At 47.7% G+C, this 16,345-nt stretch overlaps 1 protein-coding gene across 18 annotated transcripts in view; it reads left to right on the plus strand.

Moving 5' to 3' along the window:
* Nucleotides 1–15,704, plus strand: part of WWC1 (WW and C2 domain containing 1) — a 180,659-nt gene extending 164,955 nt beyond the window's left edge. For 7 of the 18 annotated variants that reach the window (XM_011534485.2, XM_011534487.2, XM_005265850.2 and 4 more), the window contains 4 exons: nt 4,051–4,143; nt 8,112–8,363; nt 11,241–11,365; nt 12,352–15,704. In XM_011534485.2, the coding sequence (XP_011532787.1) occupies nt 4,051–4,143; nt 8,112–8,363; nt 11,241–11,365; nt 12,352–12,418 (537 nt within the window). In that variant the 3' untranslated portion in view covers nt 12,419–15,704. The remainder of the gene's footprint in view (nt 1–4,050; nt 4,144–8,111; nt 8,364–11,240; nt 11,366–12,351) is intronic. The other 11 variants (XM_011534486.2, XM_011534489.2, XM_047417017.1 and 8 more) reach the window with 3 other exon arrangements.

Below are 16,345 nucleotides of genomic sequence, written 5' to 3' on the forward strand. Positions count from 1 at the left end.
AGCCTGGGTGACAAGAGCAAAACTCTATCTCAAAAAGAAAACATGAATAATTTGAATGATTTAGAAAAGCCCTTAAGACAATGGATAATGCTCCGCCAATTTTTTTTTTTTTTGTAAAATTACTGCCATTATGAACGTGCAGTAGAAATCAAACACAAAGAGAAGAATGTCACTCATCAGAAAAATCCCACCAAAAAAAATTAGTGTTTCATTCGTTCTTTTTCATCAGGATAGAATGTGGTTGTAATTTTGTTAAATGGGAGATATAAGATAGAAGAACTTTGGTGAAATATTTATCTTTTCCACCTATAGACTCAAGCCTCACGCATTTTTCCCCAGTGTTTTTTAAGTGACCCTTTTCCAGGATTCGCATCTTCAAATAACAGAAAGCACCTGTCCCACTTATTAAGCATCTGTAACACACCAAGCACTATGCTTCCACTTCCCATATTTTATTATTTATACCGTTTCTAAGCCTGCAAAATCACAAATTAAGAGATTCCCAGCCAACGGAGATCACACTCCACAGGTAGAAAGGGCATTTTTTTTTTTTTTTTTTTTTTAGCAAAGTCATATATTTTTCCTTCTTTGCTTTCTAGTTGGCCCACTTCAGCTCAAGCTTAGGTCTTTTTGTATAAAACTTACTGAAGGCTACAAGATGTAGCCAAGAGTACAACATTGTGAAAATTTTCCTATCATTTCCTCTAAAACTCTGCAGGCATGGAGGCTGTCTGCTGAGATATAGCAGGGAACAATTTAACCCTTTGTTTTGCACCCACAAGATGAGCATTACCAAATTCCCAACAGAGACATGCTGGGGCTGTGCTGTGCCTCCACCCTGCCCCCTCCACAGCCAGCTCCGCGTGTCTCAGTCTGTAACTGATAGCATTCCACTTCCTGCCTGTACCGGTCAGGGTTTTTCATTGCAAGCAATGGAAATGGACAGTGAGCAGTATATGCAGGAAAATTTGGGGGAAAGGAAAGTGAGGAGCTCACACACTCATCATAAGGCTATGGAACCAGCCTCAGAAATCAGGCAGGAGCAAGGAAGGCCAGACCACAGCCAAAATCACACCACAAAGCCAATTGGGTGACACCTTCACCGATGCTGCCACAAAACCTGGCCCCCACCGGCCCCGTTGCTGCCCCTGGCATTCAATATTTATGCCTCCACCAGGTTCCTGCCATGGCTGGCATGGAAGCTCTGGTCACTGCTGCCACTGCCACTACTTACCATTAATGGCTTTTCCCTGAGATAAAAACAAACTTGGCACATTTGTAGAATGAAGGAGAGAAAGAGTGGCCTGTTTCAATTCAAGAGACAATAGTAATAGACTTGGGTGCAAGTCACCAGGTTGTGATTCAAGGCCTGGAGCATTTGCATCCAATTGACAGGCTAGTCCTGTGCCTGCCTCTAGCTGCAAGGGAGGCAGTAGAAGCAAGGTTCTGCTACTTTCAGCTTCATCAGTGGGAGGTTGGCTTTGTTTCCCACCAAGTCATAAGGTGGGGTTTTCTCACCCACAGGATGGGATTTCAAATGCTAATCAGCAACACTTCCAGCCCCCACAGCCAAAAAATATATTTTCTGTGTAATCTAATCTTACAGCCCTGTAAGGTGAGTTGTGTGAACCCCATTTTATAGACACAGAAGCTAAGACTCAAAAACTCAAAGCACTGTGCTCTAGGTCACACAGCTGCTAAGTACAAAGCTGGGAGTCCAACTCCAAAGCCTGCAGCCTCTCTGTTGCTCAGAGCCACCTCCTGAGGGCCTTCCTCTGGCCTCCTCGGGTCTGATCGTGAGTAGCCCCTTCCACTGGCCTCTGCACAAAAGGCGTCCTCTGCTGGGTGCCTCCCTTGTTCGATCTTCATCTTCACCTATGTCACTTGGTTAGTTTTGCTGTCTTGAGTTCCCCCACTGAACTCGAAGTCCATGGATAGGGACAATGAATTACCCTTCCTACAGCTCTCCTCAGCCCCCATGTATTCATCTGAAGTGCTACCACATTTGTGGGTTGATTGACTTTGACCAAATAGACACAGCCCATCCTAAATTCTCATTCCTGAACTAGCTTCCTGTGATTCTAAATGATTTCACTGCTCTCTGCATCAGTTTCTCTAGCTATTAAATGCAAGTAATAATAAGGTGACAACATTCTCTACCATGTCTGAGATTAAATGCATTAAAGTGTCTTTATATTAGAGAAAGCTAAATTCAAGGACTTAATGTAGCTTCTGTCTTTCTTTTATATAACATAGTCTTTAACATGTAAACAACTACAACTTAAGGATCAATTATCCTGATACCCATTTCTGGTCGGTAGGACACATATCCTTCAAGTGCCACCACTGGATTAAAACAATGTAGAATAAAAGGCTGGGCACAGTGGCTCACATCTGTAATCCCAGGACATTGAGAGGCTGAGATGGGAGGATCACTTGAGCCCAGGAGTTTGAGACCAGCCTGGGCAACATGGTGAAACCTTGTCTCTACAAAAAATGCAAAAATTATCCGGGCACAGTGGCACGTGCCTTTAGTCCCAGCTACTTGAGAGGCTGAGGCGGGAGAATCACTTGAGCCCGAGAAGTCAAGGCTGCAGTGAGACGAGATAGCACCATTGCACTCCAGCCTGGGCGAAAGGAGTGAAACCCTGTCTCAAAAAAAAAAAAAAAAAAAAGAAAGAAAGAAAGAGAAAGCCCCCTTCTGGTACCACATGCAACCAGTTTATATGAATCTACCCCAGTTGTCAAGATGGCACACCCTTCCACCTGCACATTAGTTTCATCCCTGAGCCCTACTTACAGGCTGGAGCCAGGAGAGCTGGTGGCCTTGGAACCAAACAGACTGGGCCTTGAACTCTGGTTTTGATGCTCCCCAGCTGTTCAACTATACAAGCTTCTTAATCTCTCTGGGCCTCAGTTCCCATCATGTTAGGATTGTCTGAGGATTAAATGAAACTGTCACTGAAGCACCTGGCACGTAGCAGGTGCTCTATCCATGTGGCAGTCATTATTTTTACTATTCAGCGTCTGGTTCTGTTGAGGCCCTGCCTAGCCCAGTGGCTATTTCATCAGTCTGTCCCTGGAGTTGCTGTGTTTGTCAGCTTAGCAGGACTATTAATATCATTATCACAATTAATTATCAATAACCACAGAAACAGCTTCTCAGGAGACCTGCAACAGTGAACTGACAGCTGCTAGACACACAAGCACAATAGCATCGGCCTGTCACAACCCCACCGATTTTGGAAATAGGACTCGAGAAAGAAATCCCCACTCTGCTCCCACCTCCCAGGGGGTGCTGTCATCCTACCCACTCTCCCTTGCGCTCCTTAGGGGTGGGACACATTCTCAATATAGAAGCTTCCCATCCTGACTACAGGCCTGATTTCTGGTCTTAGATGGGGAATACTAGCCCTCTGGGGGGAGTATAGATAACTCAGTGATCGAGCGGATGCCCACGGGGAGAGTTACGATCTGCCCCATCATCTCTAAGGATATGGTCCCTGAGGCTTTGCCTTTAAGCTGTCTTTTTCTTTTTTAAATATCCATCTTGACAGTGGCTCCATTTGAGTCAGTAAAGGCAGGCTCCATAGACACCAGGGAAGAGTTGATGCAAATGGCCCTTTGTGTAGAAGGTTAAGAGGGCAGTATACTCTGAAGTCACGCTGGCCAGTGTCCAGCCCTGCTGTGCGGCTGACCAGCTCGCCAATCTTGGGCCAGTTCTGCAACCCCTAAGCTTCTGTCACCTCACTTGTGAAAATGGATTTGCTCCTATCACATGGGGTTGTTGGAAAGGTTCAATGGGATATTCGTGGCATTTAGCATCGTGCAGATACTAGCATGGAGATGAAGCAGTATGCATCATGCATAGTACATGCTTAACGAATGTTCACTTATAAAGAAAAGAAAGGTCAGAATGAAACCTGGGTGTTTGCAGAAGGAGAGGAAGGACTGTGCCGAGTGGAGGAACCTGACCTCCCTCTAGGCTTCAGTGCACCTTCCAGAATGCACTCTGACCATGTTTAAGATTCCATGACTTTTCTCTTGCAGCTGAATCGGAGTGATAGTGACAGCTCCACTCTGTCCAAAAAGCCACCTTTTGTTCGAAACTCCCTGGAGCGACGCAGCGTCCGGATGAAGCGGGTAAGAGAGTCACCTCAAAGCTATTTTTCTGCCTGCTCCTCCCTCGTTGCCCCAAGCCCTGTGTCCTGCACACACATCTCCTAATGTCTGGCCATTTCTCCTCAGCCACTGGCTAGAAAAATGTTGCTCTCTCAAGCATTTGCGAACAGATGTTTGTGAACTATGAGGCCTGTGTAGCCACAGGGGAAGGTGCTGAAGGGTAAATGTATTTGTCTTATTATGACAAATAGGTTAGATGAGGAGTGTGTACACTTGGCCTTGCCTTCCTAGATAGAAATCAAAGTCAGTAAGAACTAACCAACCCAGCCGGGCCCCGTGGCTCACACCTGTAATCCCAGCACTCTGGGAGGCCGAGGTAGGAGGATCACCTGAGGTCTGGGGTTTGAGACCAGCCTGGCCAACACAGTGAAACCCCATCTCTACTAAAAATACAAAAATTAGCCGGGCGTGGTAGCGTGTACCTGTAGTCCCAGGCTGTACTTGGGAGGCTGAGGCAGGAGAATCGCTTAAACGCAGGAGGCAGAGGTTGCAGTGAGCTGAGATTGCGCCACTGCACCCCAGCCTGGGCAACAGAGTGAGACTCTGTCTCAGGAAAAAAAAAGAAGAATTAACCAACCCAACAGTCATCAGTTAGAGCGCGTCATCTGACAGGAGTCTTCCTCATGCAAGACTCTGCTCAGTGTGTCTGTCGTCCAGGTTCTGGTGACAGAGAAGCTGGGTGCCTCTGAGCACCAGCCTGAAGCAGGGAAGTGCAAATGGGCTTCCCTCAGACCAGCGGGAAGCCCACAGGGAAGAGGCTGCAGACTTGCCTTGCGGAAGTCTCGCCTTTCCTAGTGGAGACTGAGCTGAGCCATCCGGATGGGGTGGGGGTAGGCAAAGGAGCGACCCCTGATTTGTCTTTGACCATTAAGGGCTGCAGGAGATGCAGGGGGCCCTCCCGACTTTGGGCTTTCAACACAACTTTAAAGCAGTTCTGTCTAATGAGTTTGCAGAACCAGAAGAAACCAGGAGCCAGAATGTCAGAAAGAAAAAAGGGGCCAGGCGTGGTGGCTCACGCCTGTAATCCCAGCACTTTGGGAGGCCGAGGCAGGTGGATCACCTGAGGTCAGGAGTTCGAGACCAGCCTCAGCATTGAGAAACTCCGTCTCTACTAAAAATACAAAATTAGCTGGGCGTGGTGGTGCATGCCTGTAATCCCAGCTACTCGGGAGGCTGAGGCAGGAGAATTGCTTGAACCTGGGAGGCGGAGGTTGCAGTGAGCCGAGATCGCGCCGTTGCACTCCAGCTGGGCAACAAGAGTGAAACTACATCTCAAAAAAAAAAAAGAAAGAAAGAAAAAAGGAGAGAGAAAGCAAAAGAGAACATGGATGGAAAAGATAGTGCCAATAGCCCCCAGTAGGGGCAGGCCCCCCACCTTTCCTGCACTGCCTGCTGACAGCCAGAATCTGGTCCTTTGCCTAACATCCTACACCTTAACAAGTCTGAGGGGGAACTGGAGAGAGGAGAGAGACAGCAACACAGGGGAGGCTACACAGGGAAGGCAGAGTGTGCGGGTGTGGGAGAAAGTGGACATGGCCTCAGGTGACAGGGACAACCAACTGCCCACTCTGGGTCCCCCACCCCAACCCCCTCTTCTGTAGCTGGCTTGTACTGCAGTCTCTGGAGCACCAAAAGTTACCTGGGGAGCTTGGTGACAATGCAGATTACAAGGCCACACTTCTGACCATTTAATTCAGGCAGCTGGCGTGGGCCCTGAAAACTGCATTTTAACAAAGCTCCTTAGGGGCTTCTGGAGCAGATGTTCATGGTCCACTCCTGCAGAAATGCCACTGATCTCCTACTTGCTCCCCCTGCGTTTCCCACAGCTCCCTTCTAAGGCAGGCCCTACAGGAGCAGGTCCCCTTCATCATCCCCTGTTCCCCTTAACCAAGAGAATGACTTAATAAGGGAGCCCCGATGGTGGGTCTGAGCCCACATTTCCCTCGGGTCCTGAGGAACAGGAGAATCCAGAGGCTGGGCCTGGGCCCTTGGGCACTGCTCCTTGCTTCCACGCACTACCTGAGCTGTGTTGTCTCTACCGCAGCCTGCCCAACTTCTGAGACTGGACAGACGAAGCAAAAGAATCTTTATTTGTTGCTCTGAGAACTTGAGCCACGTAGATCACTCAGCTGGATTTCCTTGATCCTGCTCATTTATAAGTGCAGAGCAGACCATGTTCAACCTAGAAGAGCATTCTAGAAATTCTTCCTAGAGCTGTCTTATATTCCTAATAGTATGCTTGCCAGCCGTGCAAAATGAGACTAGGTCTTATGGTAATGCTTCTTATACTGTGTCTGAAATCTCTGTATTGGTCATTGTATTTGTTTTCTATTGCTGCATAATAAATCACCACAAACTTAGCAGCCTAAAGTAATACAAATGCCTTACTTCACAGTTTCCGCTGGTCAGGAGCTTAAGCACAGGTTAGCTGAGCTCTGCCCAGGGTTTTAGCAGGCTGAAACCTCTAAGTGTTAAATGGCCACATACTCATCTGGAGGCTTGACTAAGGAAACATCTGATCCAGGCACTGCCTCCAGATGTTGGCAGAATTTATTACTTTGTATTATCTTGCTAGCTGTCAGCTGGGGGTTTAGGGGAGCACTTTCAGCTCCTAGAGGTCACTCTCAGGTTTTTGCCCTGTGACGGTCTCTACAACATGCTTTATTTACTTCTTTAAGGCCAGCAGAAGAGCCCAGCCAGGAAAAGCCCAGGCCATCTTTTAGGGGCTTACCTGATGAAAGGAGAGGAGATTATACAGGGCGTGTATATTAGCAATGGGATTTGAGAAACCATTTTAGAATTCTGACTCCCACAGTCATGAATTATTGTTTTTTAATCGTTAGTGATTTTTGATGGGAGGAGAGTTAATGATTGTATTAATCAGGGTCTTTTACGTATAGATAACTGAAGAACCCAACTCAAATACAGCTTAAAAATGAAAGAGGGAATTTATTGTCTCATTTAATGAAAAAATCCAGGATGTTGGACTACCTTCAGGCATGGCTTGATCCAGAGGTTGAAATGATGTCATCAGGCCTCAGCCCCTTTCTCATGGCATTGCTCCCTCTGTACAGCTTAATTCTCAAACAGGTCACCCCACAAGTAAAGATGACCATGATCAGTCCCAGGTTTATATCTTGAAGGCTTAGCAACCTCTGTGTAAAGACATTGTCTCTTTTCCAAGTAGTTCAGCAAAGTGCCAGAATTGAGTATTAATGGCTGGGCTTTGATAACATGCTTACCTCTGAACCTGTCACTGAGATGCAGACTGGCCAGGTTCAGGTCACATTCCTATCCCTGATGCCCCACACAAACCAGGTGGATTGAGTGCAGAGGAGGAGGTCTCCAAGGGAAGGTGAGGGCATTGTTACTCTAAGGCTGGGGAAACAAATGGTGGACAAGCAGAAACAATAGGGGCCCATTACAGGAACACAAAGTCAAGAAGACATGACTTCTGCCCTCAAGCAGGAACAGACCTGTATTGGGGAAACAACTTCAGAACAGTACAGTGACAGGAATCAATAATTGAGAACGTACATATGGAGGGTGCTGAGAGTACTGAAGCTGGCACAGTGTACAGAGAGGGCGGGTGGGGACTGCAGCCAGCTTCCTGGAGTGGAGCTTCAGCTTTACCACACATATCCTGTGGGACTTAACCTCTGCATGCCTCATCTGTGCAGATGATAACCCTCGGGACCTCCTAGGTTTGTGAAAATGAAACGAGGTTATGGAAATGAAGTGCTTAGTGCCGTTCCTGGGACATAATAAATGCCCAATAAACATGAGCTGAGTGGGAGAATTCAAAACAGGCTTCCCAGGGAAGGGCAAGCCCCATTCGGAAGGAGTGGATGCCTACAAGAGAGGGTATTTGAGGGTCAGAGGAAGAGGCTGGGTGGGCTCACTGGGCAGAGCTCTAATAACAAGAGAAGCCGTCCCCACCCCCACAGCCTTCCTCGGTCAAGTCGCTGCGCTCCGAGCGTCTGATCCGTACCTCGCTGGACCTGGAGTTAGACCTGCAGGCGACAAGAACCTGGCACAGCCAATTGACCCAGGAGATCTCGGTGCTGAAGGAGCTCAAGGAGCAGCTGGAACAAGCCAAGAGCCACGGGGAGAAGGAGCTGCCACAGTGGTTGCGTGAGGACGAGCGTTTCCGCCTGCTGCTGAGGATGCTGGAGAAGCGGGTGAGTTCTGCCTCGAAGGCAGGGGAGCCCTGCGCTCTGCCCCAGAGAGTCGGGGGGCACTGCCCCGGGGAAGAGAGGCCAGAGCTCATGATGCATCCTACAATTCCCACCACAGGTTCCACTGAGGGTGTTCCACCCATCCCTCGTTCCCATCAGGAGAGGGATCCAGGAATCCCTTTGCACACTCAACTTTATGAACCTTTCACCTGGCTGCAAGGCCCATTTACTGCATTTGTTGTTGTGATTTTGTGTGCAAGCCCTTATTATTCACACATGTACTCATCATGCAGTTCTTCATGAAATACGTAGGGTACCCAGTCTGTGCCACAGCACGCACTTTAAAAGAGTAACAATAGGACACTGACCTGCCTCGATGCCTGCCCAGGAAGTCCCACAGGGCAGCCCTTGCCAAAGGGGGAGAAGGGCTGGTCACACCAGGGCCTTCTGCTAACAAGGATGCCCTGGAGTACAAGTCGGCTGGCACCTCTGCCCTGCTATAATGAGTTTAAGGGATTTAGGGGTTGATCAAGGAGAAAGATATAACCTCAAAATGGTGTTAGCACACAAAGTTTTATATCAGCTGGGCTTTTTTTTTTTTTTTTTTTTTTTTTTTTGGAGATGGGTTTTCTCTCTGTCGCCCGGGCTGGAGTGTGGTGGCATGATGGCTCACTGCAACCTCCACCTCCCAGGCTCTAATTGATCCTCCCACCTTAGCCTCCTGAGTAACTGTGTTGACAGGTGCATACCAATATGCCCGGCTAATTTTTGTATTTTTTGTAGAGATGGGGTTTCACCATGTTGCCCAGGCTGGTCTCGAACTCCTGGGCTCAAACATTCAACCTGCCTCGGCCTCCCAAAGTGTTGCGATTACAGGCATGAGCCAGCGTGCCTAGCTTGCACTGCGCTTTGACAGGTTTGCATGCAGGGGAAGTCCCTCACAGCATGAGACCTTCCAAAGGTGCTGGGGGCTACTGCCCAGTGTGGAGGAAGGCAAGGGAACTCCTAGGGGAGAGCTCGGGAAGAGGGACCATCTAGGTTAGGTAGCTCTGCAGCACGATGGGGAGTCTCTGGGTCAGAGAACTCCAAAGCACAGCAGCAGCTTGGGGTCTCTTATAGGCCCAGGGTTTATCTATCTATGGCTAACAAATGTTGGGTACAGTTTCACAGGGTATGCAAAACAGGAAGGTTGTATATGGCTTTAAAAGCTGCTTATTTGAGCTATATTTAAAACAACTGGAAGGGTAAAAATTTGAGTTTGGCACCAGCAGGCTTTTAAGCCAACAGGTCCCAGACTGCCATGAAGAAATAAACAATATGGGACCAATATGCAAGGGCCAATATAGGACCAATATAGGACCAATATGAAAAATTTCATAAATTTTTCATTTATGAAAAATAATACCTGCCACTCTGTGATCGCCACCCACGGCAAAAAAGACTTTTGCTAGTTCTCTGTGCACACAGCCAGCCTTGCTGAGAGCACCTTACAGAGGGTGCCTACCTGAACTCTCAGGACCATCAGCTGAAATCTCAGTGCTGAATACAGGTGGTGATGCCCTAGGGCAGGAAGATGACGCCGGACTTCTTAGGCCTGGACTGATATGGGAGCTTCAAACTGACTCTGGCAGTTCTAAAGTTCCAGAAAAGTTTATTTCTTTCTTATTTATACCCTGTTTACTTATAAACAGGATTATAACAAGAACATTGAGGGGAAAACAGAAAATTGGAAGGCTTGAAGGAGGAGAGGAAATAAATATATCCCAAATCTAAAGTAGCCTAATTATAGTTAGATATTATGTTTATCTTTGAGCTTCCTGGTAACCAAGGCAAAAAGAGATCAGAAAACAAGTGCCTATGTGCCCTACCTTAACACTTGATCTTATTCGAAAGACTGAGAAGTAATATGTGCCCTGACTTAAGAAAAACAAACTAGAAAACTTGACCTTTCAAATAGTAAAAAAAAAAAAAAATTAGCATCTATGACTTCTAACAAAGAACCATTGATATGATGGCTTTAGGCCGGACGCGGTGGCTCACGCCTGTAATCCCAGCACTTTGGGAGGCCGAGGCGGGCAGATCACAAGGTCAGGAGATTGAGACCATCCTTTGAATGGTGAAACCCCGTCTCTACTAAAGATACAAAAAATTAGCCGGGCATGGTGGCGGGCGCCTGTAGTCCCAGCTACTTGGGAGGCTGAGGCAGGAGAATGGCGTGAACCCAGGAGGCGGAGCTTGCAGTGAGCCGAGATTGCGCCCCTACACTCCAGCCTGGGCGACAGAGCGAGACTCCGTCTCAAAACAAACAAACAAAAAAAACGATGGCTTTATTTACCAAAATTCTGTCTTTGTGCAATGTTTTCAAGTATATGGTACGTGGATATTTTAGGGCTGTCTGTGGTTTGTTCTCAAAAGTGTTTACATACGTTTACATTAGGAGGAAGGGGCATAGTGTTATACCCAAGCCTCTTAAGAACTACTGCATGGCTTGGGACTGAGTTTCCACCACTTCTTAGTAGTCTGACATTAAAGAAATTTCTTACTTTGCTGGAGCCTAAGTTCCCTGGGTAAAATAGAGGTAATAACATCTACCCTCCTAGGTGGCCTGAGGATTAGAGGTAGCGCACATTTCAACAGGCAGCCCTCATCTCCTCAATTCCTCAGATCCACAGTTATTCCGTTTCCTGGCCCCAAAAATCTAGTCACTCAAACAGATGATTTGAGCACTTCCCATTATCGTTCTGAATGAAGTGGATCCCACATGGAGCAAGAGTGAGGGTGCCGTCCCTACAGTAGCCCCCTCTGTTGTGATAGCGAGTTCTCCTTGCCCCTTTCTGGAGGCCCCCTCCACTGACTCAGGGCCTTGCTTGCTTTGCCCAGCAGATGGACCGAGCGGAGCACAAGGGTGAGCTTCAGACAGACAAGATGATGAGGGCAGCTGCCAAGGATGTGCACAGGCTCCGAGGCCAGAGCTGTAAGGAACCCCCAGAAGTTCAGTCTTTCAGGTAAGCAGAGGGCCCCGGCAGCCCCCCATCCCTTTCTCAGCCAACCCACGGCCTTAGTCTTCTGTCTGTGGTCTTACTGCTCTCATCCCTTGCTCACAGAGCACTGGCTTTCCCTGTAACAGATGTTCATCCTCCGCCAAGCCATCCCTGGCGATCCATGAGCTCTGCAGCGCTCTTCCCTTGGCTGTCTTTATCAGTCCCCACACAACTCGAGCTAATTTGTTAGATCCTCTTGTTTAATGAATGAGCCACCTGCTCCAGCCTTTCCTCGTAGTGTTTTCCTTACTGGTAATTGTGGAGGGTTGGCTGAATGATAAATAAACCTAGGGGTGATGGATGCTCGCTGGGCCTCCCTGGCTCTGCCTGCCACCTGCTAGGATCTCAGGGAGGTGCTATCTTGCCATGCTGGACCCGGGTGTATTCTCGGAGGGTCCCGAATGCCATTTGGCCTGGGCCTCCCATCCACAGAGGCCCTAGCGTTTAGACTTCTGATGTCCTCTCAAACAAGGTACACATGTTTGTGTATGTGCTTTAAAAAAAAAAAAATTCCTTTGTGGAATATAAACATTTAAAATGTATATTTGTACAACTATCTTTGGGCATCTCTTAACTTTTTAACAAATTGAGAATCTGAAACAAACAAACATTAGAAGTGGCCCAAGGGTCCTTTTAAACTGAGAAGCCTCTGACTGGATTTGAACTAAGAGTCATCGTTCATGCTAATGGTCTTTTAAAGCAGTGGTTCTCAACCAGGGGTGATTTCTCCCCTTCCCCCTGGAACATTTGGCAATGAGCTTACGTTTTGGGTTGTCATAACTGGAGGTCAAGGATACAGCCAGCATCTAGAGGGTAAGAGGCCAAGGACGTTGCTAAACATTCTGCAGCGAATGTATAGGACAGCTCCCACGACAAAGAATTATCCTGCCCAGAATCTCTGTAGAGCGAGGTTGAAAACCCCTGCTCTAAAGGGATGGCCTCTCTTATAGGGAGAAGATGGCATTTTTCACCCGGCCTCGGATGAATATCCCAGCTCTCTCTGCAGATGACGTCTAATCGCCAGAAAAGTATTTCCTTTGTTCCACTGACCAGGCTGTGAACATTGACTGTGGCTAAAGTTATTTATGTGGTGTTATATGAAGGTACTGAGTCACAAGTCCTCTAGTGCTCTTGTTGGTTTGAAGATGAACCGACTTTTTAGTTTGGGTCCTACTGTTGTTATTAAAAACAGAACAAAAACAAAACACACACACACACAAAAACAGAAACAAAAAAAACCAGCATTAAAATAATAAGATTGTATAGTTTGTATATTTAGGAGTGTATTTTTGGGAAAGAAAATTTAAATGAACTAAAGCAGTATTGAGTTGCTGCTCTTCTTAAAATCGTTTAGATTTTTTTTGGTTTGTACAGCTCCACCTTTTAGAGGTCTTACTGCAATAAGAAGTAATGCCTGGGGGACGGTAATCCTAATAGGACGTCCCGCACTTGTCACAGTACAGCTAATTTTTCCTAGTTAACATATTTTGTACAATATTAAAAAAATGCACAGAAACCATTGGGGGGGATTCAGAGGTGCATCCACGGATCTTCTTGAGCTGTGACGTGTTTTTATGTGGCTGCCCAACGTGGAGCGGGCAGTGTGATAGGCTGGGTGGGCTAAGCAGCCTAGTCTATGTGGGTGACAGGCCACGCTGGTCTCAGATGCCCAGTGAAGCCACTAACATGAGTGAGGGGAGGGCTGTGGGGAACTCCATTCAGTTTTATCTCCATCAATAAAGTGGCCTTTCAAAAAGAATCTTCCTCTTGCTCTCTTTTTCTTTCCTACCCCTCACTTCATCTGTTTCCCTGATTTTTGACTCTCCCCTTTCCAGTCATTTCTTTCCCACCCATCCGCAGTCCTGGAAACATTTATTTTTTCTTTTGCCCACTGTTTTCATTTGCTCATTAAATTAAAATGACTGCTCGGCTCATTGGGAATCCACATCCCCAAGTTAGACTGGGGATATGCTCTCTGTACTGTCTCCTTCTATGGAATTCCACCCCACCCAGAGAGAGATGACTTCACAGTTTGTTCATATGAGCATCATCCCATGTCGTCCCCAACCCAGGGGCTGGTAGGTGCTACAGCTTGTGCTTCATGCTGCTCCTGTGGCCCCTATTCCTACCCAGCTCAGAGCTTTGCAGGGTCTACTGCAGACAATCAGAAGTCAGTTTCTAACAAATAGCAACAGCCACAAATCTCTTCCTCCTTCCTCTCTGACATTACCCTGTGCAACTTTTCTCAAAGTCTGTTGCACCACTCAGCAAAGCAAGTTGCACCAGCTATATCAGAATCACCTGGGGCAGCCTATTAAAAATGCAGACTGTTGAGACCATCCTGGCTAACACGGTGAAACCCTGTCTCTACTAAAAATACAAAAAATTAGCCGGCCGTGGTGGCGGGCAGCTACTCGGGAGGCTGAGGCAGGAGAATGACCTGAACCTGGGAGGCAGAGCTTGCAGTGAGCTGAGATTGTGCCACTGCACTCCAGCCTGGGTGACAGAGCAAGACTCCGTCTCAAAAAAAAAAAAAAAAGAAAAATGCAGACTGGCTGGCGCGGTGGCTCATGCTTGTAATCCCAGCACTTTGGGAGGCTGAGGCGGGCAGATCAACTGAGATCGGGGGTTCGAGACCAGCCTGATCAACATGGAGAAACCTGGTCTCTACTAAAAATACATAATTAGCTGGGCGTAGTGGCGCATACCTGTAATCCCAGCTACTTGGGTGGCCAAGGCTTGAACCCAGGAGGCGGAGGTTGCGGTGAGCCGAGATGGCGCCATTGACTCCAGCCTGGGCAACAAGAGCGTAACTCCATCTCAAAAAAATAATAATAATAAAAATAAAATGCAGACTGTCAGGTCCTCTCTAGACCCACTGAACTATCCCGCCCACCCTGGGACGGTCCCCAGTGCCAGTGTTTTACCCATGTTCCCTCTGTAAGTCTTATGCACACCGCAATTTGAGAGCCCCACTGGTATAAAGTGAGTGAAACCCAGGCAGAGACAGGCAAAATGGTGAGGCCCGCATCCTATTGGTGAGTCACACAGGGAACGCTGAAATTCATGGCCTTCTCCAGGCTACTGGGAACCCATGGGCGGTGATGGAGGGAGTGGTGCCACCTTCACTTGCTGCTGAGGCTCTTCCCCCTCTCCCCAGCATACTCCTTACCTGGCTGTCTCTCCTCATGTATAAGGAACCTATAGTGGTGTAGAATCTACTCTTCTTCCCCCTGTGGCTTCCAGGCCCCCCTGTATAGCTGCTATCCAGCCCGATTTCTCACCACTGGCCCAGGGCTTCCTCCTGCCCCGTGGCTTCACGTCTCTGAACACATCAATCTCTGATGTTCTCTCTCCTTCCATTGAATTCCACCAGACACATTCAGGGTTTACTTCGTAATGTCTTCATATGAGTATCAATCAACACCTTCCCCAACTCAATTGTACTAGGTTGTAGAGCACAAGGATGGTCTCGTGCTGCTCTGTGGCACCTGTGCCTACACTCCTCTGAGCTTTGAGGAGGCTGCTCTCTTTGCTGACCCCATGATCTTTTCTGCCCTTCTGTTAAGGGCATTGGCCACAGCAACGGGGCAAATGCCCCAAGCTGGCTGTAAGTGACCCATCCCTTTGGCTCCCATGATTAGACCAAGGAGAGGCATGGGGTCCAGCTGAGCCATTCAGAACCATTCCTTAGCATTTTCCACTCAAAGGTTAGAGATGAGATTTTCTCTTCCCAAGGCTACCTCTGGCCATGGTTCCAGCTTCATGGGGGCAATGGGATTAGGAAAATGAGGTCAACCTGCAAAGGAAAGCAGATGCAAGAGATGGAGACAGAATGGGGGTGTCCTGGGGATCTTGGAGCCTGAATTCATTGGCACAAAAGGCAGCAGCATCCTCACTGTATCTGCAGTCCATTTGGACTCAATAAAAACTTTGAAAGTCACATGTGTTATGGAATTCCTTCTCAGTGACACATTCATCTGTGCTCAGTTGTCCCAGCAAGGGTCAGCCCCTCATACCCCTGCAGCATCCGCTGCTATGAAGCAGAGCTGTAAACGCCCTCCCTGTGTATAGGAAAAGCTACATGGAGCAAATCCTCCTGCCTGAAGAAGTGCATCTCAGCATCACTTCAGCTGTCGGGGCATTTGTGGGGAGAACCAGACCACCTCTGCGGAAGGCAGCAGACCCTCTTCCAGCCATGGATGGAGTTGAATTCTCTATAAACGGTTCACCAGCAAACCACCAATACATTCCATTGTTTGCCTAGAGAGAAATTTAAAAATAAATAAATGTTCACTTATAATTGTGCATGTGTCTTTTCCAGGACCTTCAGGAAACAAAGCCGGGAAATGTGAAATGACCCCCTCAAGCTCACATAAATAATAAATGGCTACAGCTAGGATGCTAATTCCATCTTTCAACTCCAAAATCTCTATTTTCTTTCAGCTCCAGCTTCTGTTTCACGGTGGCGTTACCACAGCACACCACATGAGGCCCTAATTGTAGAGCCGTAGAATCCTTGGTCTTGAAGAATGAAGTCACAAATTCCTGTGGTTTCTCTGCACAGGGTGGGGAGAAAGGCAGGATACTAGGATACTACTCTGAAAAAAGACAGCAAACCTCACTGGGTTTGGTCCTCCCACTCCTAAAGGCAACGGTTGCCTTTGAGTACAGACCTTTTTGCAATATGCACATGTGCTTTCTGTATCTCAAGAAGGCTAATGACTAAGATTCTTCTAGTTAACTATCCCCTTGCTAAGCAGTCTCCAGCCACGCTGGCCTTTCTTTTTCTCCTTCCCTCCACCAGCACTTTGCAGTCCTAATTCCTTCTGCCTGGTGCACTCTTCCTCCATGTCTTCACATCGACTTCACATAGCCAGCTTCTTCTCACCCTTCAGGTCTCAGCTGGAGCCTCACCCCTCAAGATCCCTCTCCACCCTGGAG

The sequence above is a fragment of the Homo sapiens genome, chromosome 5 (assembly GCF_000001405.40).
Source record: "Homo sapiens chromosome 5, GRCh38.p14 Primary Assembly".
NCBI lineage: Eukaryota > Metazoa > Chordata > Mammalia > Primates > Hominidae > Homo > Homo sapiens.